Source organism: Homo sapiens, chromosome 12 (genome assembly GCF_000001405.40).
Source record: "Homo sapiens chromosome 12, GRCh38.p14 Primary Assembly".
In the NCBI taxonomy this organism is placed as follows: Eukaryota; Metazoa; Chordata; class Mammalia; order Primates; family Hominidae; genus Homo; species Homo sapiens.
This window is the reverse complement of record NC_000012.12, coordinates 30,708,778-30,735,578: the sequence shown is the minus strand read 5'-3', so window position 1 is coordinate 30,735,578 and position 26,801 is coordinate 30,708,778. Positions and strand designations below refer to the sequence as shown.

Here is a 26,801-nt window from a genome sequence, read left to right as displayed (position 1 = left end):
AAATTTAAAAAAAATCCTAAAAGGTCCAAAAAGGACTGATACACATAAATGTGAAAGAGTAAAATGTTGAAATGAATATGGACATCAATGATTGGTACTTCGCTACTCATCATGGTGATATTAGCGGTTCTAGACATATCCTGGATTTGGGAGTCAGATATTTGACCCCCTTGGCTCTGGTTACCTGAGACAAACCAGTTTATTACTCAGTGACTTCTTTAGCTCAAAAAGGAGACAGACTAAACTGGTAGTTTGACAGTCATGAGATTTATCATCTAATCTCAGCTATTTGGGTTTAGACTTTGTAGATACGTATTGCTAATATGGGATGGTAGAGAATTGTTACCCTTAATTAGCCATTTGTTTTAACAGCTACTAAAAGCGCAAAAGAAGGCCCAGAGAAGGGAGCACATGCTAAAACTTGAGGCTGAGAAGAAAAAGCTTCGAACTATACTTCAAGTTCAGTATGTATTGCAGAACTTGACACAGGAGCACGTACAAAAAGACTTCAAAGGGGGTTTGAATGGTGCAGTGTATTTGCCTTCAAAAGAACTTGACTACCTCATTAAGTTTTCAAAACTGACCTGCCCTGAAAGAAATGAAAGTCTGAGGTAAGCTAATGAAAAGATTTTCCTGAAATGAAACACTTGACACTTTAGCTTTTTAGGGGTGTGTGTATGTGAGAGAGAGAGTGTGTGTGTGTGTGTGTGTGTGTGTGTGTGTGTGTGTTAGAGAGGGGGAGAGAGAACTTAAGAAAGTATTAATTTGATTCAATATGGAAACCTTGGCTGGCCCAGAGTCTGACAGGGTTGACAGATTGTCTGGAAGGAAAGTGAATGTGAATGGTCTCATTAACATGCTTCTTTATTGTAATACTGATTTTTAAAAAAATGAGGTCTGAGCATCAAATTTTAATCCTGTACAAGTATAATATTATATCTATTTCTAAAACTTTTAAAGTAATTTTCTCAGAGTTGCCTTCTTACTCCTGCTATACTTAAGTAGAGGTAAATAATATTTAACTTGGCTGGTGTCATTAAACTTTCAAAGTAACAATTATTTGGTGTTCTTATTATGCTGTGAATAACTAGTGATAAATACATTTGATAGTTTAAAATACAAAACCTGCAAACTGGGGCTGTCTGATTTTTTTTCCCTCACAGTGATCCATTGCTCTTTTTGTTTTGATGGAGTAAATCAGCTAGGGGACAGATGCTGTGCTCTTGCTTTGTTAGATGCAGGCTATTCCAGCTTTGTATTTGTTAGCCCTACTAAAGTAGAGTCAGATTTCAACGGTTACCAGAAATCAGTCTCTGATCAGAAAGAAGCCTAATAGAACTCTTAATTGCCTATATATAGCCATGTATTTTTTAATTCTCATGCTGATAGTCTACTCCATCGTCATCATCTATACATTGCCTCCTTCACTTTTGTGGGTTCAGGGAATGTAGCTTCACTTTAATATATGAAATATAAGCAAAACATAATTTGTTAAATAAGCTGCTTTCTTTAAAGTCAAATGCGGCTCTTAATATTTCAATTTCACTGTTCTTTTATGTAGGGCATACACCTGAACTAATGATACTGCATTGGCAGCTTTAAACTCTTTTTGGTCTATTCTTTAATGGGTTTATTTGGTAAAATCCATATTTTAGTTGTTTTAAGGAAAAATTCTTACATTTGAAATCCTTAAGCAGGCATTTAGTCATCTTGTATACATTTCAATTTTTTTATTTCCAAAGAGCAAAAAGACAAAATTAACATTTGAATGTCTTGTCTGTTAATGGGTTATATTGCATAAATTGTGCTGCTCCATATATATGTACTTCTAAAGCCACTTTGTTCTGCTGCTGCTTTTCCTTGTCAGTGTTGAAGACCAGATGGAGCAGTCATCCTTGTACTTTTGGGACCTTTTGGAAGGTAGTGAGAAAGCAGTGGTAGGAACGACATGTGAGTTTTCTCTACTCTGGACTTATGCAGTAAATACTAAACTTTATGTCTAGAAGTTTAGTATGATATTGAGGGTCTAAACTGTGTTAGTCCATCAGAACTTACATGTCTGACAATACTATATTCACTGGGAGAATGATCCCTTTGTTTAGTTCTGTTAAAAGCAGCTATTGTATAACCCTAGTCACTAAAGTGGAATTCAGGGAGAGTTTTGAAGTGGCAAGTTGATATGATTTGGAAATAGAGCTAAGTACTGGCTTCAACACTAGCTTGATCATTTTGGGGTTCAGTTTTCTATTCTGTGTGGTAGTACCTGTTCTATTTAAGAATCTTAAATTCATGCATTGTTAATATCAAGGCTTATCTACCAGATCAGCCTAAGAATATATGAATGGTTTTATAGTCTATTGAAACGTTGTCTATTGATCTGGAAGTGGTCTGTGGAAAGAGAGTTCTTTTGGCTTGCTAAATAGACTTTGGCCAAATGACCAAATACAAATGACTGGACATGAAGTACATAGCTTTGTGTACTAGCTTAGAGTAATGAAAACTCACTAGAAGGTAGTAAATATTTTTGTTACCAGTGATTGCTTCCTTTTAAAAAAAAATCCAAATATCTATAACTATCTTAAGATTTCTAAGTTTGTTCAAGCTTAAATCAAAATTAAAAATTTATTTCTTGGTTAGAATGCAAAATGAGTTTAGAAAATAGTTTGGCAGTATTTTAATAAAATGAAGCATACACTTATAACGCTAAGCAATTAGTCTTCTAGCTAAGATAAATGAAGACGTGTTCATATAAGTACTTGTACATGAATGTTCATATTAGCTTTATTCAGCTGATAAATTGATAAAATGTGGTATACCCATGCAGTGGAATCTACTCACCAATAAAAAAGGGACGGAACTATTGATACATGTAACAACATAGATGAATCTCAAAATAATTATGCTGAGTGAAAGAAGCCAGACATAAAATGAGTACATATTGTAAGATTTCATTTATATGAAATTCTAGAAAAGACATAATGGGATGATAGTGGGTTATTGGTTTTCAGGGGGTCAGGAGAGGACAATTAATTGCAAAAGGGGTAGTAAGGAATTTTTTGGGTTGATGAAAATCCTCTATATCATGGTTCTGGTGGTAACACAACTAAATATCTGTTAAAACTGTATAGTTAAGATAGGAGGATTTTGCCTGTAAATTATATCTGAAAGCTGATTTTTTTTTTAAAAGACAAAATCTGTCATAGTACTCCTATGAAAGGAATAATAGACTCAAAATCTATGTCATAGTACTCCTGTGAAAGGAATAATAGACTAAAATGAAGTACGGAAACTCTGCTAAGTTTGGGATTATGTTTTTAATGGATTTTTAAAATAAAATGACTTTAGACTTATTTGTAGTGTAGTGACCTCAGCATCATTTTAAGGTTTTTCTTGATCATCAAATGGTCAGGTGGTAGGAAGGACAAACAGCATAACTCGAGTAAAATCTTCATGATGGAATTTTGTAGTTGAAAAATACTTCAGAGTTTGTAAAAGATAGGGTTTTCTAAAATAGATTAATAATATTAGTAATCTAATAGAGATTGTCCAATATAGGATTTTCTAACCCAATCTAATAGATTTTGAGGAACTGACTTTTACTTCTCTAAAGCCTTAATTACTTGGGGAAGGTAGAGTGGTTGCTAGCTGTGATGTCTTGGGAGCAGATAGGAAAAATGACTTATTTCTCATCTCAGGGAATAGATGTGTGCTTTTGTGACATACTTGATTAGGGTCTCTGATTTTTAGTCATTTTTCAAATGGTGGAAATGGAGGTCCAGAGAAACTTAAGTGACTTGCTGAACTTTTGAGATTCTGATCTCATTAAAATTCATATTGATTCAGCATAAAATAAAGATGGACTGCATATTTACTTTTCATGGTACTGACAAGTTCTCCAGTCAGTACCATGAAAGTGTAAACTGTTGTAAACTATTGTAAGGATGTACTATGTACATCAATGTAAACTATTGTAACAATGTACTACAACTAGGATAAAATTAGGATTTCTATTCCCAGTAATTTTCAATTAGGTCATGTGACAATTAAGTCTTAATCACTCTTTCTTAGACAAACACTTGAAGGATCTACTGTCTAAATTGCTGAACTCAGGCTATTTTGAAAGTATCCCAGTTCCCAAAAATGCCAAGGAAAAGGAAGTACCACTGGAGGAAGAAATGCTAATACAATCAGAGAAAAAAACACAATTATCGAAGACTGAATCTGTCAAAGAGTCAGGTTTGTTGTGACCTCTGAAAATCCTTATAGTGGTTGCATTTTTTAATACCCCAAATGAGTCACGTATTGTGCAGTGATTGCCTTATTTTAATTTGTTAGGTTCTACATGCATGGAAATCTTTACTTACCACAGGATAAACCTAGGTTTATAAAACATCTCTAGGCTTTATCACCATGATTTACCGAGTGAAACTTATTAGAAATATTAATTTGTACTTTGTCCCAAAAGAATACATTGGTTAAAAGGAGCCATTTATGGAATTTGAATAAACTTCTCTGTTAAACTACTAGTAGGATAATTCTGTTTAAAATTGTTTACAGTGGAAGTTAGAGTAGAAACCAGTACTGTAGTGGAATGAGGATGTAATTAACCTAAGGTCGAAATACTGATTCAGGGGAAAAAAGTGCTAAAGTCAGTAAAGAAAATATACTTTTAAAATTATCATTTGCCTGGGGAAGAAATACTTTGAGCAAGTGGCACTTCTGCTTTTGTTTACCAAAGTTGGATTTATTAAAGAAATACCTCTTCTCAGGAGGTAGTCCAGGCAGGGTTCTGGTAGCCATAAGCAAGAGCGAAACCATTTTCCATGTTTATTTCCCCTTAGTTCTTAATACTAAGTGCAGTGCTTAAGTATCTCCACTCTCTTATCCCCTCCTAACCTTAAACTGGCTTGTAAGAGGTTTTTAAGGGCTCTATTTCAAGCTGAGATGACCAATTTTTACCCCATGGGACATGAGCTATAATGCTAACTTGAAAAAAAGCTGTGTTTTAGGGTAAGAAGAAATAGTGTTATTTTCAATCAGATATCAGTTTTAAACTGAAACTTGACTTTCGTAAAGTGTCTTACATAAGGAGAGCTACTAGTTTGAACTAGCCTCAGACCACATGCTTTGGACTAACAAGGAATATAATTCCTCTTGCCATCAATATACTTGATTATATTACCCTTTTTCTGTTACGAGTCTTCTGAAATATGTTGCTAGAATGAATTATAGTTGTAATCTGTCTAAAAACTTACAGTTCACCTAGTATTTATTCAGATTCTTTTTATCATCCCAGAGTCTCTAATGGAATTTGCCCAGCCAGAGATACAACCACAAGAGGTAAGATACTGAAAGACAATTTGCTGATGTTGATTTTTCAGCCTTTTGCATAGGGTTATGGTTGGAAGCTAAGGCTCTGGAGCCAGACTGCCTGAGCTTGAACCCTGGTTCTGCAGTTTACTAGCTTAGGGACTTTGGGCAAGAAATCTGGTCCAGCTGTGTCTGTTATCCTCATATGTAAAATAGGGATAACGTTAATGACTACTTCATGGGGTTATTGTGAGGATTAAAGAGGTTGATCTAAATTCTAAATTACTTAGAATTTGGTCTGGCACACGAACTGCCCAAATGATAGCTATTTTTGGCTCCTGTGTTAGAGGAACTTTAAGATGCGCAGGACTTTGCTCTCTCCAGAATTTACTCACATTGGTAGCAGAAAAGGGTATTTGTTCTCTTTCTGAAGTGACATTGAAATTCATGGGAAGCTGAAAAGAATGGGAGATTCAAAAACAGTGTCATTGATGTATAAGGGAAATAAAGAAAACACTGGTAACTTAGGAAATGTCACGTTTAAGGTTACATAATTTAACTTTGAAGTTGAACTATCTTCTGCCTTTTAATGTTTGAGGGAGTCAACTGGGGAGAATGGTCCTAAGGCTGGCAAAGGCGGAACAGCCTTGGTAGAAGAATCCGAATCAAGCAATTCTTGCCAGTCTTAGGCAAGTCCAACAGAAGTTGCTACTTTTGATGTATCGAAGTCTGTATTTCTGTTAATTGAGGAAAAAGGAATGGACAGAAAAGTAGGAAAGTAGGAAAGAGAAGTAGGAAAGTCTTTTCAAGTAGAATAAGGACAGAAATTTAATATTAGTGCAACAACTTAGATCAGAGGACATAGCAATACTAATAGAGTTGAATATTCCCTCCAAGGTCTTCTATGAATTTTGTGACTTAAGTGCATTGTTTCTCTATCTAGTTTCTTAACAGACGCTATATGACAGAAGTAGATTATTCAAACAAACAAGGCGAAGAGCAACCTTGGGAAGCAGATTATGCTAGAAAACCAAATCTCCCAAAACGTTGGGATATGCTTACTGAACCAGATGGTCAAGAGAAGAAACAGGAGTCCTTTAAGTCCTGGGAGGCTTCTGGTAAGCACCAGGAGGTATCCAAGCCTGCAGTTTCCTTAGAACAGAGGAAACAAGACACCTCAAAACTCAGGTCTACTCTGCCGGAAGAGCAGAAGAAGCAGGAGATCTCCAAATCCAAGCCATCTCCTAGCCAGTGGAAGCAAGATACACCTAAATCCAAAGCAGGGTATGTTCAAGAGGAACAAAAGAAACAGGAGACACCAAAGCTGTGGCCAGTTCAGCTGCAGAAAGAACAAGATCCAAAGAAGCAAACTCCAAAGTCTTGGACACCTTCCATGCAGAGCGAACAGAACACCACCAAGTCATGGACCACTCCCATGTGTGAAGAACAGGATTCAAAACAGCCAGAGACTCCAAAATCCTGGGAAAACAATGTTGAGAGTCAAAAACACTCTTTAACATCACAGTCACAGATTTCTCCAAAGTCCTGGGGAGTAGCTACAGCAAGCCTCATACCAAATGACCAGCTGCTGCCCAGGAAGTTGAACACAGAACCCAAAGATGTGAGTTGATCTGTATCATTCTGCTTCTGTAAGTGTAGGCATAAATAAGGTGTCGTGGTAATGACTTTTTAGTTCTCTTTTTTTTTTTTTTTTGAGATGGAGAAACACTCTGTTACCCAGGCTGGAGTGCAGTGGCACTATCTCTGCTCACTGTAACCTCCGCCTCCTGGATTCAAGCGATTCTCTTGCCTCAGCCTCCTGAGTAGCTGGGACTACAGGCGCATGCCACCACACCTGGCTAATTTTTTTGTATTTTTAGTAGAGACGGGGTTTCACTGTGTTAGCCAGGATGGCCTGGATCTCCTGATCTCGTGATCCAACCGCCTCGGCCTCCCAAAGTGCTGAGATTACAGGCGTGAGCCATTGTGCCCGGCCTTAGTTCTCTTCAAAGCCCATGTGAAGTTAATGTATAAAATATTTCACCCTCTTTAGTGGGTAGATTTATTGTTTTCCCTTGAAAACTGGGAGTTAATCTAGTCTGTCTTTAAGTCTAATCTGAGATGAAATTTCTGCAATTATAAAATGTTGTTTTAATGCCAAATTTTAACAATATAACATGATATGAAAATAGTAGATAGTTTAGATAAGACCATAATGACATAATGTGAACAAGTGAGTAATGCAAATGCTTGTCACAGGATGGGAGATACTGTATTTCATTTGTTGTCATTTACCTGCTATACGAATAACTTTTTCTGACAAGTTATATTTTTCTATATTCTCTTGCTTCTCTTCTACTCATTTATGGTCACTCAGTTTAGCCCAGGTCTTTATGAAGAAGGTTTATGGTGGTTGCAGATATTTCAGTATTGGGGGAAGGATTTGAATTAGTTCTCTATTTCCATTTCAAAATGAGAATTTTTCCAAAGATAGGAAAACTGTTGGCATTAAATATTTTGTAGTTAGGTTTTGGAGAACAAGATTCAGTTAAAACATAAGGCCACATTCTTTTAAGGATAAATAACCTGTTTCAGGTAGATAACACTTACATTGAATAATTCTTGGGTACAGTGCTATGTTAGGGTTGCCTTTTATTAAATTGTAAATTACTTATTTACTACTATTTATAATGCAAACTTGTTACCACCTCATTTGCTGAGATATGTGAACTTGTGCTTCCAGTGTTCTCTATCTCTATGGAGTAGTCTTCCTTGCACATCTGTGCCATTTTAGCTAAAGGCTTTCTGATAAACCATTGGACCTCTAATATAATAATATGAAAAACATTTTGCTTGGGGAAAGCAAAGCATTGCATTTTATAAGTAAATTACCTTTGGCTTAATTCTGTATGGGAACAAAATTTTAGAGTTATTTGGCTATTTTGCTCTCCTTTCTCTCTCAAGTTGCTAATATTAATTTTAGCTTCTTCCTGACCCTACAGAAGATTGTCAGCTTTATTTTATTAACCAAATATCACACAACAGTAACTGTAATGTAACTATTTTGAAAAACATTTAAAAACCCAATTTAATATCTCAAAGCTGCTTTTAAAAACCTGACTTAAAATTCCAGTAGGTGTAGCAATGCAGAACCTTTATCATACCAGAATATTATCATGCTATTTGATGAATTGCATTTAAAATCAGTGTTACATATTTGGAAAGGTCAAAACATATTTAATTTGCTTTTGTGGGACAGATAGCGTTATATTGAAGTTGTAGGGTTTTTCAGTTACTGAGAGGAGAGGATACTTCTATGTGTAATATAGTATTTTTCTGTCTTTCTTGGAATCTGAGCTGTCTAGAATATTGACTAAGTACAGTCAAGTGCAGAATAGAGTTCAAAGCCAAAAGACTAGATAACATGAAATTAATCACTGATGTTCATACCTTCCTCCTAAAAGAGTCCCATATGTACTCACTTATGGTCTCTTAACTCTTATTTTATCTGGTACCTTTGACAAACTTAGCTGTGTGTCTTCTTTGATTAGAAGGTGGAGAAGAGGAGCTAGTGGAGACTGGCATGTTGACAGCTATAAAAAGTAACTGTAAATTGGTCTAATTCAGAATGTGCATCAATTTTAAGCAATTTAGGATGGATATCAGTAGCCCCCAAGAGTGTACTTACTTTATAACAAAATATATGTATCCCTCTCAATTTTAGGGTATGTGTATGTATGTACTTATATATGTATTTACATTTTGATTTCTGAAATCAGATACATCTTAAAACTGGGATGTACATTTAATGTGGTAGTAGTAATTTTTGCCCTGGAAAAAAAAATCATTGGTATGTCTTATTGTCAGTGGCATCTTATCCTAGAGGACATATGGTAACTCATGTCCATAATGAAAACACTCTTAACAAGGAAGTTCTGCTGGATCTTCCCTTTAAAAGGAATATTTTGTGTTTTAGAAAGAGTTCCATGAAAATTGTGAAGGGGAAAAATCTGTTTAAAGTTTGCTTATTTAGAAAAGGTATTTATGAGAAAATTCTTTACCTGTGATAAGTGAACATTGCTGTTTTTTCTTTTCCTTTAAGATGTAGTGATAAACTGTTTCCTAGATTAGGCTCTTGAATTTGCATTTCACTCTTACACATTATGGGTTTATCTTGTAGGTGCCTAAGCCTGTGCATCAGCCTGTAGGTTCTTCCTCTACCCTTCCGAAGGATCCAGTATTGAGGAAAGAAAAACTGCAGGATCTGATGACTCAGATTCAAGGAACTTGTAACTTTATGCAAGTATGAGTCATTTACAAAATCTTAAATGATATTCATGGGGCTTCTGACTGGAAACATTACAGTGAAATTATTAAGAGCATAGATTATTCTGTCAAGTCCTGGCTCTGCTGCCTCCTAGCTCTCCTAGCCTGGAGTTTAGGCAAATTACTTGATTCTGCCTCAGTTTATTTATTTGAAAAATGAGGATTATTGTTCCTACTTTCTAAGTTTGTTAGAACAAAAAAAAATGAATTAAGCATGTGAAAAGCTTAACTTGCTCAAGGATCATTACTGCTATAGATTATCAGTACTGAGAACTGTGAGAACCTACTCTGTGCCTGATATTGTTAGATACCATTGTAGTACAGATACAGAAAATGAGACATTCATTGCCTTCAAGGAATTTATATTCCAGTTGTAGAAGATTGTAAATTTATGTTAAATCAATAGTTAAATGATAAATTGTGTTATACAATATGTTTAAGTTGTGAGATACAGACACAGAATTTGAGAATGGTATGAGATTACTGAGGGCTAAAGTAGTCAAATAAGTATTTTTGTTTAGTAAAAGATCCTGAGCTTTGAATATGGGCCTGGGTTTAAATTCTGTTACTTACCAGCTGTTTATTTAACCTCCAACACTTATTTGCAAAATGTAGGAATTGCCTATACCATCAGATTAGTTGAAGATGTAAGAACTAAAATGCTCCCTGCAAATGTGTAGCTTAAGTATGCAAAATACTGGAAACTTTTCTGAGAGAACCGAGATAGGCAGATACAAGAGCGTGATTTCTCATCTTGAAAATGTTTTAACAGCATGAGCTAGTAAATGGTTGAGATAAATAGATGCTCTTTGGTTGGGTGTAATAAAAATGGGGGTTCTGATTAGACTAGGATTGATGGCTATGTTTAGGACCTTAGTAAGGTCAAGAGTTTCTTTTCTGACTTAGGCCTTAGATTTAGTATTGTAGGCTTTTGTTTTGTTTTGTTTAAAGACAGGGTCCCACTCTGCTTGTCGAGGCTAGGGTGCAGTGGTGTGGTCAAAGCTCACTGCAGCCTCGAATTCCTGGGCTCAAGCGATCCTCTTGTTTTAGCCTCCTGAGCATCTGGGACTACAGGCACATACCACCATGCCTAGCTAATTCTTCAAAAAATTTTTAGTAGCAACAAGGTCTCGCTTTTTTTCCATGCCGGTCTCGAACTCCTGAGCTCAAGCGATCCTTCTACCTCAGCCTCCCAGAGTGCTGGGGTTACAGGTGTGAGCCACTGCGCACGGCCTACTCTTGTGGTTTTAGCACTCTACACAGCCTTAAGTTATGGCAGTTACTTTAGATTTTATTTTTAATTCTTAATTTCTTTATCTATGGAGACTAGTTTTGGCATCCTGAGACAGTGATTAGCTAGATACCTATAGCTTTAGCTAGATATTTATGTGTAGCTAATAGACTATAGGCAGCATCATGAATAATTCAATGGTAATAGCTTTTAAATGAGTAATCTCTGTTTCCACTCTTTATTTAAAATCATATCTTTAGGAGTCTGTTCTTGACTTTGACAAACCTTCAAGTGCAATTCCAACGTCACAACCGCCTTCAGCTACTCCAGGTAGCCCCGTAGGTATGTAATCATTCTAAAGACTTGGAGCAAACGTCTTGAGCTAACAGCTATTTGTTGTTGTTGTCTTTTCAAATGATTTTATTTTAGATGTCCTAATATGTTGGTGTATTAATTTATTCTAACTGTATCCATCTGTTACCAGTTATATGTGGGTAAATTACCATTAGGACATTAGTGTACTTAACTGACTTGTTTTCATTTTTTGGAGAAAGGCTCTGGATGGGTGAATGGAAATACTCAATAGCTGTTTTTGTAATTTATGTTGTTGGTGGAGTGAATTCTGACTAGAAGTTGCTTGACTCCTTTGGACTCTAAATCTAGTGTTGAGGCTTTTGGGTCTTAACTACGGGTGTGATTACCACAATGAAGTGTAGAACAGTGATTAACACAGTAACTAACAAAAGAGCCTGCATTCAAATCTGGTCTGATGCTTCAAAGCTTGGGCTTTTTGCTCCACATTTGTTTCTCTCCAGAGAGGAGTGACATAAAGCTAGTCCAGCTTTAGTGAGCAGTATATACCAGCTTGAAGATTGGTGTAGCAATTCCTGGGTGAAGTGAGAGTAAATAGAGAGTAATTAATAAAAGTGATGGATATTAACAAGAAGAAACAAAACAAACTATATAATTGAAAAGTATGTTAATATATATAATCAGAAAAAAACTGAATGGATGATCCAGATAAGATTGACTTTGAAATTTGTGAAAATTAAGTTTATCAGTTAATTACTATACATGGTAGCCTGGGTCTTACCTTCCTGGTCACTATTATCAGTTATTTTTAAATGTCTTAGTTCTTTTCTTTTGGAAGTCTTGAAATGCTACTTTTGTCCATTTAACCTTAAAGCATCACTCTGTGTCACCGATGGAACTAGTATTTTCTATTCTTCTACAGTTCTCTCTTGTTAAAACTCTAATAGAAAGTGCATGATGAACTTGAGACGTAGTCCTTCCAGCTAATGTCTTTTTTGTGAAGTGTAAACTTTAGTTTCCTCCTAGTTGATATGCGTAAGCTTTTGTCTTCCCTCAGTAGTTACTGTTTATTTTACTCCTTGCAGCATCTAAAGAACAAAATCTGTCCAGTCAAAGTGATTTTCTTCAAGAGCCGTTACAGGTAACTTTCCAAATTAATCTTTTATTCTTTGCTGCTCAAGGAAGAAGCTCTTGCTTTGGAAAGAATAATCAGACTTACTGATTCTCATGTACCTAATGAAATTATTAAAAGTGTTCTAAGCATATCTAGTTTTGTAGATTAAATACGACTTGTCCTAAAATGATTCCCCGATGACTATGCTGAAAACATATAGTACAGGTTTGCTGACTTTAGTAAGGAGAGACCAAGCCTGAAGAAATCAGAGGGTACCTTGTCTAAGAATATTATGTTCTCTTGAGCTACTTAAGTAATTTAGTTTATTAACATAGTAAAGTGTCTGAAGAAAGAAATTAATTTTTGTTGTTGTTGTTTTATTGAGACAGAGTCTCACTCTGTCGCCCAGGCTGGAGTGCAGTAGCATGATCTCGGCTCACTGCAGCGTCTGGTCTGCCTCACGGGTTCAAGCAGTTCTGTGTCTCAGCCTCCCGAGTAGCTGGGATTATAGGGCCTGCCACCACACCTGCCTAATTTTTGTGTATTTTTAGTAGAGACAGGGTTTCACCATCTTGGCCAGGCTGGTCTTGAGCTCCTGACCTCGTGATCCACCTGCCTTGGCCTCCCAAAGTGCTGGGATTACAGGTGTGAGCCACTGCACTCAGCCTTAATTTTCAAACTGTATTTGTTGAGCAGGGTATATTGGGGTTTTTCCTACTTTCCTCCAATTCACTGACTGCTTTTACTAAAGCAGTTACATTTTTTGTTCTAGCTGTTTAGGGTTCTACATAAGGCTTTCAATTGACAAGGTAAATTTTTTGAAAAGCACTGGTCTAGCTTAGTAGTTCTCTGGTGGAGGCTGTGGGATGGCTGCATCGAAGCCATCCCACTTTATATGTCATAAGGTATACATTTCTAGATAAGATCTTAGACCTGTTGGAGCAGAATTTTCTAGGGTGTTGCCTATATTTTTAAAAGCTTCCTGGATGAATCTTCATACCCATTTTTTGGAACATTGGTTTCAAATATCATGTTTATTCACCAATAACCCACCTCCAACTGGTCTACTTAAAAAGCACTAATTTGGAAGCAGGAACTGCCATCACTTCTAACTAAATACTAATGTAAATGTCTTTGTTATTAAATGAACCTTTTAACTGAAATTGAAGCCATTTTAAGATTAACTATCAAGTGGCCTAAGATGCCTTAATTTAGCATCTGTGAATCTTCCCTTAGCAACAGAGTTAGTTATTTCCCCACAACAGCCAGTTCTACTTTTCTTGGGCACTTGTCTCATTACTTTAATGACAGAGCCAGAAGAACGACCTAGTTTTAGAAACGCTCTAATCTTATAATGGTTCTAATATTTTGGCCAGATCTAAGTTATGCCTATTTACTTGGGTAATATAAAATGTTCTAAAGGATTTCAAATATTTTTTTCCATAAGATCTTAAAACTCAATCCCCAGTCTCCTTCCTAAAAAGCAACATATCATAATGCCTCCTTCAAGAAGGTCACTGAAACATGATTTCTCTGTTTTGTAACCCTTCATTAGTTTCCAGTTCACCTATTTTATTACTTGGGCTTCTGAGAACCACATAGAAGCATTTAGATAAAAGGAGTGGATTCACTGACACTTTAGATCTTGCTATTGCCAGATTTTTATGGGTGTCTCTCTGCTGTATTTGAATACCTGTTGTGCGATAGAATTCTTTCCTAGCCACTCTTTTAATTTTCTGTTGGTTACAGTTGTCACAACTTTTTTTCCTAATGTGCTTTCTCCCAATTTTTATTTTACATATGCTATCAGCTTGATTTTTCACTAGAATTTTTGGTGCCATTCTGATTTATGTAGAGCTTATTCTTCCTATTTATATTTCAGCCTGCCTCTTTAGGATGCTGATAGCACTTAGCATGAAAGCACAGTTATACTATGATCTCTGGCAGAGCTGTGCCTACAGTGTTAAACGTACCCGGAGCTCACCTTCCCGTGAATGCTATCTACTACAGGGCCAAGAATCAGTGAACATGGGATGAGATGTGTAGTTTTGGTGACCAGGCCTGGACAGGCAGTGTAGCTAGCTGGCTGCTTGAGTTTGAATCTCAGCTCTGCCACTTAATTGTAGTATGATCTTGGGCAAATGTCTTAACCTTTCTTTGCCACTGCTTAATTGTCAATAAAATGAGAATAGTACCTACCTCACAGATTACTGTTAGGATTAAATATATTAACACGTATAAAGTGTTTAGCAGAGTGCTTGACACATGTGCGTGTTCAGTAAGAGTAACATATTAGGAAGGCCAGGGCCCAAGAAATATAAAGTGAACAAAATGTGCCTTTTACAATATTTTGTATTTTCCTGTGTCTAGGCTACTTCTTCTCCAGTTACTTGTAGCTCAAATGCTTGCTTGGTTACTACCGATCAGGCTTCTTCTGGATCTGAAACAGAGTTTATGACCTCAGAGACTCCTGAGGTAAAAGACCAATTGTCTTAATTTCTTTTGTATCTTAAAGAATAGCAGAACCAGTTTATCTTATGAATTACAGGCATGATTAGTTGAATGATGTAACATTTATACTTTATTAATGTATTGCTTTCTATAGATATTGTGATCTTGGAACTTTTACAGGTAACTTTATTGTAGCTTTGCCATATAAATAGATTTAATATGGTATTGCCTTATCTAGTGCAATAAATGTCCATTTTTAATCTAAAAAAATGAAAAGTGTAGGTAGCATTAAGTCAAGTTTTCCACTATATTTACACTGAAGGACTTTTAGGAGAAAAGTCTCTTATTTGTATAAATGAAAGCTCAATAACTTTATTTTATTAATATTAGCACTTATTGAGTTGGAATGAGTTACAATCTTGTTTTGGCTAACTTTGTCAAAAATATTTTCGGTCAGATGCAGTGGCTCACACCTGCAATCCCAGCACTTTGGGAGGCCGAGGCAGGTGGATCACTTGAGGTCAGGAGTTCAAGACCAGCCTGGCCAACATGGTGAAGCCCCATCTCTACTAAAAATACAAAAATTAGCTGGGTGTGGTGGCTCATGCCTCTAGTCCCAGGTACTCAGGAGGCCGAGGACAGAGAATTGCTTGAACCCAGGAGGCGGGGGTTGCAGAGATTGTGCCACTGCACTTCAGCCTGGGTGACAAAGTGATACTTCATCTCAAAAAAAATAAATAAATAAAAACATTTTAACAGTATTATGTTTGTGCTTTCAATTTCAATTCTAAGTTACAGTTTTTACTAAGTTTGAGTAAATCCTTGAGATGGACATAGTAGGATGAATTTTGAGGAGTAATTTAGCAACTATCAGGTATTTTTTGTTAACTGTTATAGAAGAATATGTATTCATTATAGAATATAAGAAAATATAGATAATCCTTAGTTTTTATGGTGCTGGCTTGATCTGAATTTAAATTATCTCATTCCTCATTTTAAGAAGAGGAAGAAGTGATTGTTACCAAGTAACTCACAGCTGTCTGCTTCACAATCTAGTTGAGATTGGTTTTTGGTATTTTTTTTAAGCCTTTGGATTTATAATCTGTTATGTCAAGAACTTGTGGCTTCCTTAGGTAAGGATTACTTAAATTGGATCGGAGTTGTTTTCTGTTTTAGGTAGCTGACTTAGAAACCTACTAACTAATAAGTCTTTAAAATAGAGAAAAATTAACACTAAACAACTAATCCAAGTTTTTTCTTAAATCCAATTCTGATGTATAAATTTTGAATAATATTAGGTTCTTAACTGGAAATTACCATTTCAGGGTTTGAAAAGGACTAGGTGCGTATAAAAAGTTCAGCCCCTCATCTGTTAGACTGATTATTGGTAAGACTCTTTCACTTAGTCAGCAAGCTGTGCAAAGCAAATACTGGTATGCATCCTCAGCAATTGAGATTTGAAATTGTAAGCAAAAGCTATTCTTTTGCATTCCTGTGTCCAAATGTCATCCTAAAGAACTTGCTGACTTATGCCAGTTTGGGTTTTAGAGTAAGTTAACTGCTTGTTATATGGCAGGTGATTGGCTGATGCTGCATTTCTCCTCCCCAGGCAGCAATTCCCCCAGGCAAGCAACCGTCTTCACTAGCTTCTCCAAATCCTCCCATGGCAAAGGGCTCTGAACAGGGCTTCCAGTCACCTCCAGCAAGTAGTAGTTCAGTAACCATTAACACAGCACCCTTTCAAGCCATGCAGACAGTGAGTATGAAACATGAATGATGATTGCAGTTCATTATTCCTGTTAAAAGCCATTGTTTCTCTTACATAATTATTGGATACTATGTGAAAAGTTTGCCTTTTGTAAAATTTATTTGGGTTGGTAGAATTATATTTGGCCAATGGCAGTACTTGTTTGTGGCAGAAGAATAGGAAATCCACAGCCTCTAGAATTTTAAATGGGTGTTTTATCAGAGCATTATTCCTTCTTTTAGAATTAGTAGCAGGCAAAGCTGAGGATCCATATTAAACAAACAAAATGTGTGGGTGAGAAACAGAATTTCTAGCAACAGCTTAATAATACTAACCATTACTAATATCTTTACTAGTATTATTCCCTAACATCAGTAACCTGAAATACCGGACACATACTTGGGTGTTCTGTCATTGCTGAAACTTTCATTTTATTTTATCCTGATCTCAAGATGGTTTTTGGAGATTTGTTCAGATTTGTGTGGTGTTTTGAATTACGTATTTTTCTACAAATTGCAATTAAGGCTTTTTAAAAAAATAATATTACAGCTAGTTTGGTATGTTTATTCTCTAAACACAGACTAGTATAAAACAGTTCTTTGTGGGGGAAAAAAGCCTTAGTGAGCCAATAAGTACCCTTCCTATTGGTGCTTAGTGTCCCACTCCAAGCACTTCGGAGTGATGGTGGTAGTGGGGCCAGTGGAGTAGCATGGAAAGCAGGCACCACCCCGGGAGATCGGCTGGTGAGTCCAGACAGCTGAATTCACTCACCTGATCACTTAGAATATCTTATTTCTAGATAGAATAGTTCCTTGCTTTCACTCTTTTCCTGTCAGTTCATCCTGCACAGTATAGCCACATTGGTTTTACCTTTTCTTTTGTCTAATTAAAAGCAAGCAGTGTTCCATTACAGAATGAAATTTAGTACTCTGACACTCAGTACCTTTTCAAGTCTGTTATAACCTGTCACACTAGTCCCCTGAGCTTGCCTTATATATTCTTGTCACAGTACCTTTTGCTCATGCCAATCTGTTTTCTCTGCCTGTTTGAATCCTACCCGGTACACATTGGTTCTTACTCATTTATTGATTAAAGAATAGTTACAAAACCAGGCACTGTTCTTAATCACTGAGGTTGTAGCAGTGAAAAAAGGAAAGTATGCTCAGGAAACTTAACATTTTAGTATGGAGGTAGGAGGGCTAGGGAGACAAATACCTGTATATCAGGTGCTGTGTGATGTAAAGAAAAATGGAGCAGAATCAGGGAGCTAGAGAGTCATAGAAGGACAGATCGTTGCTTGCCACGTGGTAAAGATTCATTAAATGGTAAAATATTTCATTCATCTTTAGTTTTTGAAAAAAAGACCCCTTACCCTTGTATAGCTTTTATTCTCAGCATTATTATGATAGCATAATAGCAGGAAGATTAACTTTTGCTGTTAGGTGTAAAATCTGTCAGGAATCAAGTAGGAGTGTTTTTTTGTTTTTTTTTTACTATGGTAAAATGTATGTAACAGAATTTACCATTTTAATCTTTTTAAAGTATACAATTCAGTGGCATTAAGTATATTCATAATGTGCAATCATCATCACTACTTTCAGAACTTTGTCATTATTCCAAACAGAAACTCAGTACTCATTAAACAATAACTTCCTGTTTGTAACCCCCTCCACAGCTCTGCTAACCTCTATTCTACTTCGCTTCTATGAATTTACCTATTCTACCTCATATTAGTGGTATCCTACAACATTTTTCCTTTTGTATCTGGCTTACTGCACTTTGCATAATGTTTTCAAAGTTCATTTGCGTTATACAGTGTATCAGGATTTCATTTTTGTATGGCTGAATAATCCATTTTATGTATGTACTTCATTTCGCTTATCCATTCATCTGTTGGGAAATTGAGTTGTTTGTACCTTTTGGCTATTCTGAATAATGCTGCTATGAACATGGGTGTGTAAATATCTGTTTGAGTCCTGCTTTCAGTTATTTTGGGTATATACCTAGAAATGGAATTAGTGGATCATATGTTAATTCTATACTTTTTGAAAAGGCAGCATACTGTTTTCCACAGGGCGACTGCACCATTTTGCATTCCCACCGGCAATGCATGAGGGTTCCAGTTCCTCCGCATCCTTGCCAACACTTATTTTCTGTCTTTTTGATAATAGCCCTGCTAATGGGTATAAAATTTTATGGCATTATGGTTTGGATTTACATTTCCCTAATGACTAATGATGATGAGCATGTTTTCATGTGCTTATTTGCCATTTATCTTCTTTGGAGAGATGTCTATTCAAGTCCTTTGCCTGCAAAATAGAAGTTTTTGAATGTACAATTTTGCTGGATACCACCCTTAAGCATTTTCTTTGAAACTTCCCAAATGACTCAGTGTGTCCTTGTCTTTTAAGGTATTTAACGTTAATGCACCTCTGCCTCCACGAAAAGAACAAGAAATAAAAGAATCCCCTTATTCACCTGGCTACAATCAAAGTTTTACCACAGCAAGTACACAAACACCACCCCAGTGCCAACTGCCATCTATACATGTAGAACAAACTGTCCATTCTCAAGAGACTGGTAAGATCTTTGCATATGATATTTGGAAGACTTAGAGGGACAGCCAATTGAATGGACAGCAAGTCTAGGAAGTCTGTAGTGACACTTTAGAAGTATTTTCCTGACCAGTAAGCATTATTTCTTTACATGTTCCTCCAGTGTTGAGAAAAACCTAATGCCCTTTTTTGTGTTAAGTTTACCTATTAATTTTAATTTTTGTAGAGATAGAACTTAGATGACGGATTTAACCTTGAAGTAGGTTTGTATTTTTAAATCTATTTGCTTTGATTACCACAGACAGTGATTGAGGTAGATGGGCACTATCTGGCTGCTTATATGAAGGTTTTGAAACCATTCTGTTAATCCTTTTAACAAATGGTTATCTGTCCTTTTCTATCTTATAATAAAAGATTGAAGATATGACTTAGTATGCTCATTGTACTGTTTGCTTAGAGATGGGAGGCTATTTTGATTTTTCATGCTGTTCTAAATCATGAAAGAATAGGTAACTTTGTACTCATTTCTTAATTTAAATTTAAGAAGCACTTGTAGATTTTTTGTATTGGTATTTCAGATCCCTATTGAGTTTTTTAACTGAAGTCGGAGCAAATGAATTGAGCATTCTGAGTACTTGGCTAATCAAGTGATGAAGAGGTAGTAATATGAATTCTGGGACCTAGGCATAGATGACCTGATTCTGTTCTCCCCTCTACTGTTGAAAGACAGGGCAGGTGACTTACGTAAGGGATATTTTTGTCAGGTGCCTTCTCAGATATTAATTAGAATCCATTTTCTTTTACTCCCTCATCTGGAGTATTTAGCCTGCTTTTTAAAAATTGTCGTAAAGTATACATAACATAAAAATTACCATTTTAATCATTTTTAACTATATAGTTCTGTGGCATTAAGTACAACCAAACTGTTGTGTAATTATTACCACTGTCCACCTCCAGAACTTTTCATCTCCCCCCAACTGAAACTTTGTAATCATTTAATACTAACTCCTCCTCCTCCTCTCCCCCCAGCCCCTGGCAACCACCATTCTACTTTCTGATTCTGAAAATGACTGCTCTAGGTACCTCATATAAGTGGTATACAATATTTGTGCTTTTGAAACTAGCTTATTTTACTTGGCATGTCTTAAGGGTTCATTCATGTTGTAGCATGGGTCAAAATTTTCTTCCTTTTTTAGGCTGAATAATATTCCATTATATATATGAATTACGTATTTGAGTCATGTAGATGAATTATATACATGAATATATGTATCTCCTATTTATTTTTAAAGGCAGCAAATTGTATTAATGATTTTGATATATATTGGCTTTTAAGTATAAAGACTATTACCATTTAACTCTTGGACCCTAAAATCGTTTTTCTTAAGCAGCAAATTATCATCCTGATGGAACTATTCAAGTAAGCAATGGTAGCCTTGCCTTTTACCCAGCACAGACGAATGTGTTTCCCAGACCTACTCAGCCATTTGTCAATAGCCGGGGATCTGTTAGAGGATGTACTCGTGGTGGGAGATTAATAACCAATTCCTATCGGTCCCCTGGTGGTTATAAAGGTATGCCCTGAATAAAATTGAATTATACTGAATTATTTTGTCTGTGTGTTTACTTGACTCACACCATTTTTACCTAACCTTGCTCCCTTTTGTCATTTGCAACGTAGTAGAGAATTTCCTGTTTGTGGATAATAAAGTATTTTTAATATACCTATTCTCCATAACAGAGGAACTAATTTTCTGTATGAAAAGCAGATTGATTTTGTGACTTACTGAAGTGGAAAGTTTCACCATATTGTTTTACAAAGGATGAATTTTCATATTTGAGTAATGTTTTTCTTTTGTTGACTTAACTCTGCTAAAAGTGTATCATATTTACAAGATGCCCATTTTCTAATTATTTCTAGTTATTTGTTAGATTATGTCACAAAGAAGAATATAGAATTTGAGACTATAATAGTGATATTCTCTTAAACTGTTGTTATGGTTCCAAGTGTCCTAGTCACTACTTATTATTAACAAAAATACTCTAGACAGGCTGGGTGTGGTGGCTGACGCCTGTCATCCCATTACTTTGGGATGCCAAAATAGGAGGATCATTGAGGCCAGGAGTTTGTGACCAGCCTGGGCAACATAGTGAGACCCTACCTCTACAAAGAATTAAAAAATATTAGCTGGGCATGGTGATATGCACCTGTAGTCCCAGCTACTTGGGAGGCTGAACTGGGAAGAATGCTTGAGTCCAACAGTTTGAGGTTACAGTGAGCTGTGATCTCACTACTGTGCTCCAGCCTGAGTAACAGAGCGAGGCACTGCCTATAAAAAAGCAAACAACAACAAAACAACCCTAGACAGAGGCCCTAAGTACCTAACTGCCCTACCACCACCCTTTCCCAACCCCACCTTGCATTTAGCAGTAGTAAATTTATAAACCTGGCTTATTTGAAGACAGCAATGTTCTATAAATATGTTTTACTTTGGAAGCAATATTAGTAGAGTTTGCTTAAAGAGGGCATAAGTCTAATGATGGCATTATATAATCAATTTAACTTTTAAAGCAATATAGAATTAGACTGTTTAAAAGTTTAATATGATTTTGTCCATAATCTTATGTAAGTTTGTTTATTTATTAGGTTTTGATACTTATAGAGGACTCCCTTCAATTTCCAATGGAAATTATAGCCAGCTGCAGTTCCAAGCTAGAGAGTATTCTGGAGCACCTTATTCCCAAAGGGTAAGTAAGAATAGTTGTCATAGTTGAATAGTGGTACAGTTGTTGATGTTAAGCTGGTGATTGAAGTATATCGCAGAGTCATAATTTGTTTTCTGAAAGTGCACTCTTAGTTTTAAAACTACTTGTAAGTCCTATGGAGAAGAGTTGAGTTGGAAGTTTTTGCAATTACCCAAGAAAGATAAATGATAATTGCTTGTTATGTGGAACTTAGAAGGTGTTAAGGACATTATTAATCATGTTGTTTGCATTAACTCATTTGCTCTTCCACCTCACAGGAGAAATGGGTTCAGAGGTTAAATAACTTACCTAACGTCACTTATCAAGGAAATGGTAAACTAAGATTAGAATGTGACTTTCTTACTCCAGAGCCCATGATTTTAACTTTACTACATTGCCTTCAGCTTAACTTGCCTAAATAGCAAATGTAGCAAAGCCCTTTTTCGTTAAGTTTTTTGTTGTTGTTTATACTTACTTGAAGAACCCAGCATATTTTCTTTACTACATATGGTAAAAGACTCATAAGAGGATGTTAGAAATTCCACTTTAACAAAACTTGGGAACTTACGGATTTGAATCTATAATACATCAGCATATTCAGTTTTGAAGTTTTACAAGCTTTTGAGTATGTGTATGGTACCATACTGAGTTCTGTTGGTAATATATAAAATACCTATCCTTGAAGAACTTACAGTTACATAGGGTAGGATGGATATCCACACAGAGGCAGTATTGAAAAGGGTGAAGGCCAGGCGTGGTGACTCACGCCTGTAATCCCAGCACTTTGGGAGGCTGAGGCAGGTGGATCACTTGAGGTCAGGAGTTCGAGACCAGCCTGACCACCAACAGGGTGAAACCCCATCTCTACTAAAAATCAAAATTAGCCGGACGTGGTGGCACACGCCTTAATCCCAGCTACTCAGGAGGCTGAGGCAGGAGAATCGCTTGAACCTGGCAAGTGGAGGTTGCAGTGAGCAGAGATAGCGCCATTGCACTCCACCCTGGGCAAGAAGAGCGAGACTCTGTCTCAAAAAAAAAAAAAAAAAAAAAAAAAGAGTGGAAAACATCTTGGAATCTAAATGCCTTGGGTTTGACCCCTCATTTATCACTTCTCTTGCCATGTGACCTCAGATAAGTTAGTGAAACTTTTTGAGCTCTAATTCCTCATCTGTTAGTTTTTCATCTAACACTGAGGTATTCTCCATGAGATATTCTGAGAATTAAATGAACTAAAGCACCTAAGTGCTTAGCACTACAGAGCCAGGTGTGTATATCAGCCGTGCAAATATTAGATGTTATTATGTGATCCTCAGGGAATGTATGTGAGGGGAGGATGTTTATTAATACAGACTTAGGTAAAAGAACTGTCTCTTCTTAATACCACTATTACAGTATTTTGTGTGCTCTTTTACATTTTTCCTGAGGAACAAGAAACTGATAATGCTAGTTGCTATTGCAAAGGGGCAACTGGGAGTATGGAGTAAGAGGCTTTATTATTTTTATTGTGTACCTTCTTGTCCTGTTTCAATTTTTATTGCATATAATAATTACACCACTAATTATTCTTTTCATGGGTTGTATGAAGTTTGGCTTCCTTCATACTTGAGTTTGTTTGAAGTACTGCCCCTGGAACATTTTTTCTTAATATATTAGATTATATTTCTAGGCAATAAATATATTTATACAATATAATTTTTTATCAATTTCTTAAAAAAAAATTCCCAAACCCCAACACAGTTGGTATTGGTCTTCCCAGTTTGGTGTATAAATAGAGCAAGGTTGAGAAAAGTCTGTGTTTTTGCTTTATGATGTCCTTTTATACTGAGATGAGGGACAGAGGACCATGCCACATTTAAAAATTTCTCTCATTACCTAGCATTGTATCTTTTACATAGTATTCTCCAAGTGCTTTGTTGTTTTTCAGGTATTAACAGATCTGATTGGTCAGGTTAATTAACAGGTGAAGCAAGTAATGCCACTGTTGCCCTTGCTTTGTTTTTCTTAGTGTTTGGAAACATCTGAGCCTCTTTGGTTGCTGGGGAAGGCCAGGTAAAGAACTAAGGGGACTAATCTTATTTGCCAGCCGGTAGTCCTGTGTAATAACCAATTATAGTCCTGCATTTTTGATGCCAAGGTAAATATTATATGTTCACTTTAGGATAATTTCCAGCAGTGTTATAAGCGAGGAGGGACATCTGGTGGTCCACGAGCAAATTCGAGAGGTAAGGGTAATTAGCTGAATAGTTTTCTTACCCAGCACATGTCTCTAGTTCTTTCTGCATCCTCTACCAAGTTCTTTCCAAAGCACATTGCTTTTTAGCATTTATCTTGTTGAGGTTTTCAATTTGCTTGAATGTAGTACTAAAGTACTAAGGGAGATACTAGACCACTAGATAGGCTATGGAAACCAATTGCAAATTGAATTAAAAGGGTGGGTGTTTTTTAAAAATCTGCTTGACACTAGAGCATATTTAACTTTATATATTCACTATGCTGATTTCGAATATTTTTCATGTGATGATTCACGATGGTGGTTTTTGTAATAATGGGTACTTCTTACTGTAGTGTCACTGCATTAATAGATTCAAATAAGCACAAATTAAGACACCGTGACTTGAGACAATAGCAGAATAGTTATAACACTTTTTAAAATGTGAAGGAACTATTAAAAGTTTGTATAAGGGAGAAGAAAAATCACTGAAGAGTAACTTTGGCACAGGAAAGCAATCTTTTCCTTCTGAAAAAATAGCTAGTATTCAATTTGCCTTTGCCTTAGTGTGAGCAGTGTTTTTGTATGGCACTTAAAACATTACAAGTGTATGACTTGGAAATAAAAAAAGCATTCATCATCATGGGACTTAGTTCCATATCAATATATCTCTGAATGGCTAGTGGCTAGTAGTTCTAAAAATTGGTTCTTTTATGTAGTCTCCATTTTCTTGAGACCTTCTACATTAGGTGCTTTGTAGAATGACCTCTGAGAAATTAAGAATTATGGGAGGAAGATGAAGTAAAAAGTGTTCAGACCTGAGTTTTAGACTTTGCTAAGTTATCTGGCCTTTTGGGGGCCACATTTTCTTAATCTTAAAAAAGGATCAGTTAGACAAGATTATCTTGGACCTTTCTGGCTTTAGAAGAGTATGTAAAAACCTATTACCAGAAAAATCTAGAAAAGTATAATCTAGCTATATATTGCTTTTGTTTTGGAATTTACTATAAAATGTATCTTTGTCTGTTTCAGTAGCCGACTAATGTTAAATATTGTGTTCAAAGCTAACTGCTTCATTATGAGAAACTCACTGTTGCTAATAAAACAGCAGGGTGGAGTGATTCTTCTCAGGTGAGCAGCCCAGAAAGAGACAACGAAACCTTTAACAGTGGTGACTCTGGACAAGGAGACTCCCGTAGCATGACCCCTGTGGATGTGCCAGTGACAAATCCAGCAGCCACCATACTGCCAGTACACGTCTACCCTCTGCCTCAGCAGATGCGAGTTGCCTTCTCAGCAGCCAGAACCTCTAATCTGGCCCCTGGAACTTTAGACCAACCTATTGTGTTTGATCTTCTTCTGAACAACTTAGGAGAAACTTTTGATCTTCAGCTTGGTAGATTTAATTGCCCAGTGAATGGCACTTACGTTTTCATTTTTCACATGCTAAAGCTGGCAGTGAATGTGCCACTGTATGTCAACCTCATGAAGAATGAAGAGGTCTTGGTATCAGCCTATGCCAATGATGGTGCTCCAGACCATGAAACTGCTAGCAATCATGCAATTCTTCAGCTCTTCCAGGGAGACCAGATATGGTTACGTCTGCACAGGGGAGCAATTTATGGAAGTAGCTGGAAATATTCTACGTTTTCAGGCTATCTTCTTTATCAAGATTGAAAGTCAGTACAGTATTGACAATAAAAGGATGGTGTTCTAATTAGTGGGATTGAAGGAAAAGTAGTCTTTGCCCTCATGACTGATTGGTTTAGGAAAATGTTTTTGTTCCTAGAGGGAGGAGGTCCTTACTTTTTTGTTTTCCTTCCTGAGGTGAAAAATCAAGCTGAATGACAATTAGCACTAATCTGGCACTTTATAAATTGTGATGTAGCCTCGCTAGTCAAGCTGTGAATGTATATTGTTTGCACTTAATCCTTAACTGTATTAACGTTCAGCTTACTAAACTGACTGCCTCAAGTCCAGGCAAGTTACAATGCCTTGTTGTGCCTCAATAAAAAAGTTACATGCACCTTCAGTGTTCCTATTTAATTAAACATTTAGTTGAGAGGTAAAATATCTGCTTTTTAATAGTCATCACTGATAACTCTTGAATGGTTATTTCTTCATGGGCTCATGCTGTTATTTTAAAATAAGACATATATATATAACAGTTCCTTCTAGGGTTACTTTTCTCTGATATTATACATGCCATTCATCAAAACATTTGATCTGTTTTCCATGGGCCAAATCATGCATTCTTCTTGAAGCTATTCTGTTTTGCAGTAGGGCATGGGCTTCCTTTAGTCAGCTATCTTTGGGTAGCTACTACATGTGTAGTAATATACAATAGGAGATACACAGGTAATACTACTGGCCCACCATCAATAAGACTTACACTTTCTAGTGGATTCTCAATTTAATTTGAGCAGGCAAAATGCTAAGACATTGAAAAGCAGAGGCTCTGTGGTCAGGCAATGCTGTGTTTCAGAGTCCTGATTCTGCCACTTAGTAGCTAATCTTAGAGAAGTTATGTTACCTCTAAGATCTCTCTCTCTTAAATACTGTTTCTCAAATGTAAAATGTGAATGGATGATAGATTACCATCAGGACAATTGTGAAGTTTAAGAATATATCTAAAGGATTGAACGTAGTGCCTGGCACATACACGTTTAAGAAATGCAGTAAAATTTAGTGTTCGTTCTAGCCATATGATACTTTCTCACACTTAAAGCTTGTATGTCTTCAGTAATAAGGTTTTTTATTTCTCAGTTTAAATAATAATTTTTGGCCTGGTGCAGTATCTC

At 36.2% G+C, this 26,801-nt stretch overlaps 1 protein-coding gene across 97 annotated transcripts in view; it reads left to right on the top strand.

Annotated features, from left to right (window-relative positions):
• Window positions 1–26,026, top strand: part of CAPRIN2 (caprin family member 2) — a 45,399-nt gene extending 19,373 nt beyond the window's left edge. For 6 of the 97 annotated variants that reach the window (XM_047429433.1, NM_001319846.2, NM_001385501.1 and 3 more), the window contains 15 exons: window positions 373–611; window positions 1,868–1,950; window positions 4,069–4,236; window positions 5,297–5,340; window positions 6,254–6,931; window positions 9,491–9,613; window positions 11,128–11,209; window positions 12,265–12,320; window positions 14,664–14,768; window positions 16,354–16,500; window positions 18,903–19,071; window positions 20,435–20,620; window positions 21,694–21,794; window positions 23,950–24,013; window positions 25,109–26,026. In XM_047429433.1, the coding sequence (XP_047285389.1) occupies window positions 412–611; window positions 1,868–1,950; window positions 4,069–4,236; window positions 5,297–5,340; window positions 6,254–6,931; window positions 9,491–9,613; window positions 11,128–11,209; window positions 12,265–12,320; window positions 14,664–14,768; window positions 16,354–16,500; window positions 18,903–19,071; window positions 20,435–20,620; window positions 21,694–21,794; window positions 23,950–24,013; window positions 25,109–25,677 (2,775 nt within the window). In that variant the 5' untranslated portion in view covers window positions 373–411 and the 3' untranslated portion in view covers window positions 25,678–26,026. Of the gene's footprint in view, window positions 1–372; window positions 612–1,867; window positions 1,951–4,068; window positions 4,237–5,296; window positions 5,341–6,253; window positions 6,932–9,490; window positions 9,614–11,127; window positions 11,210–12,264; window positions 12,321–14,663; window positions 14,769–16,353; window positions 16,501–18,902; window positions 19,072–19,624; window positions 20,374–20,434; window positions 20,621–21,693; window positions 21,795–23,796; window positions 23,841–23,949; window positions 24,014–25,032 lie in introns of those variants that run through there. The other 91 variants (XM_047429437.1, NM_001385506.1, NM_001385504.1 and 88 more) reach the window with 45 other exon arrangements.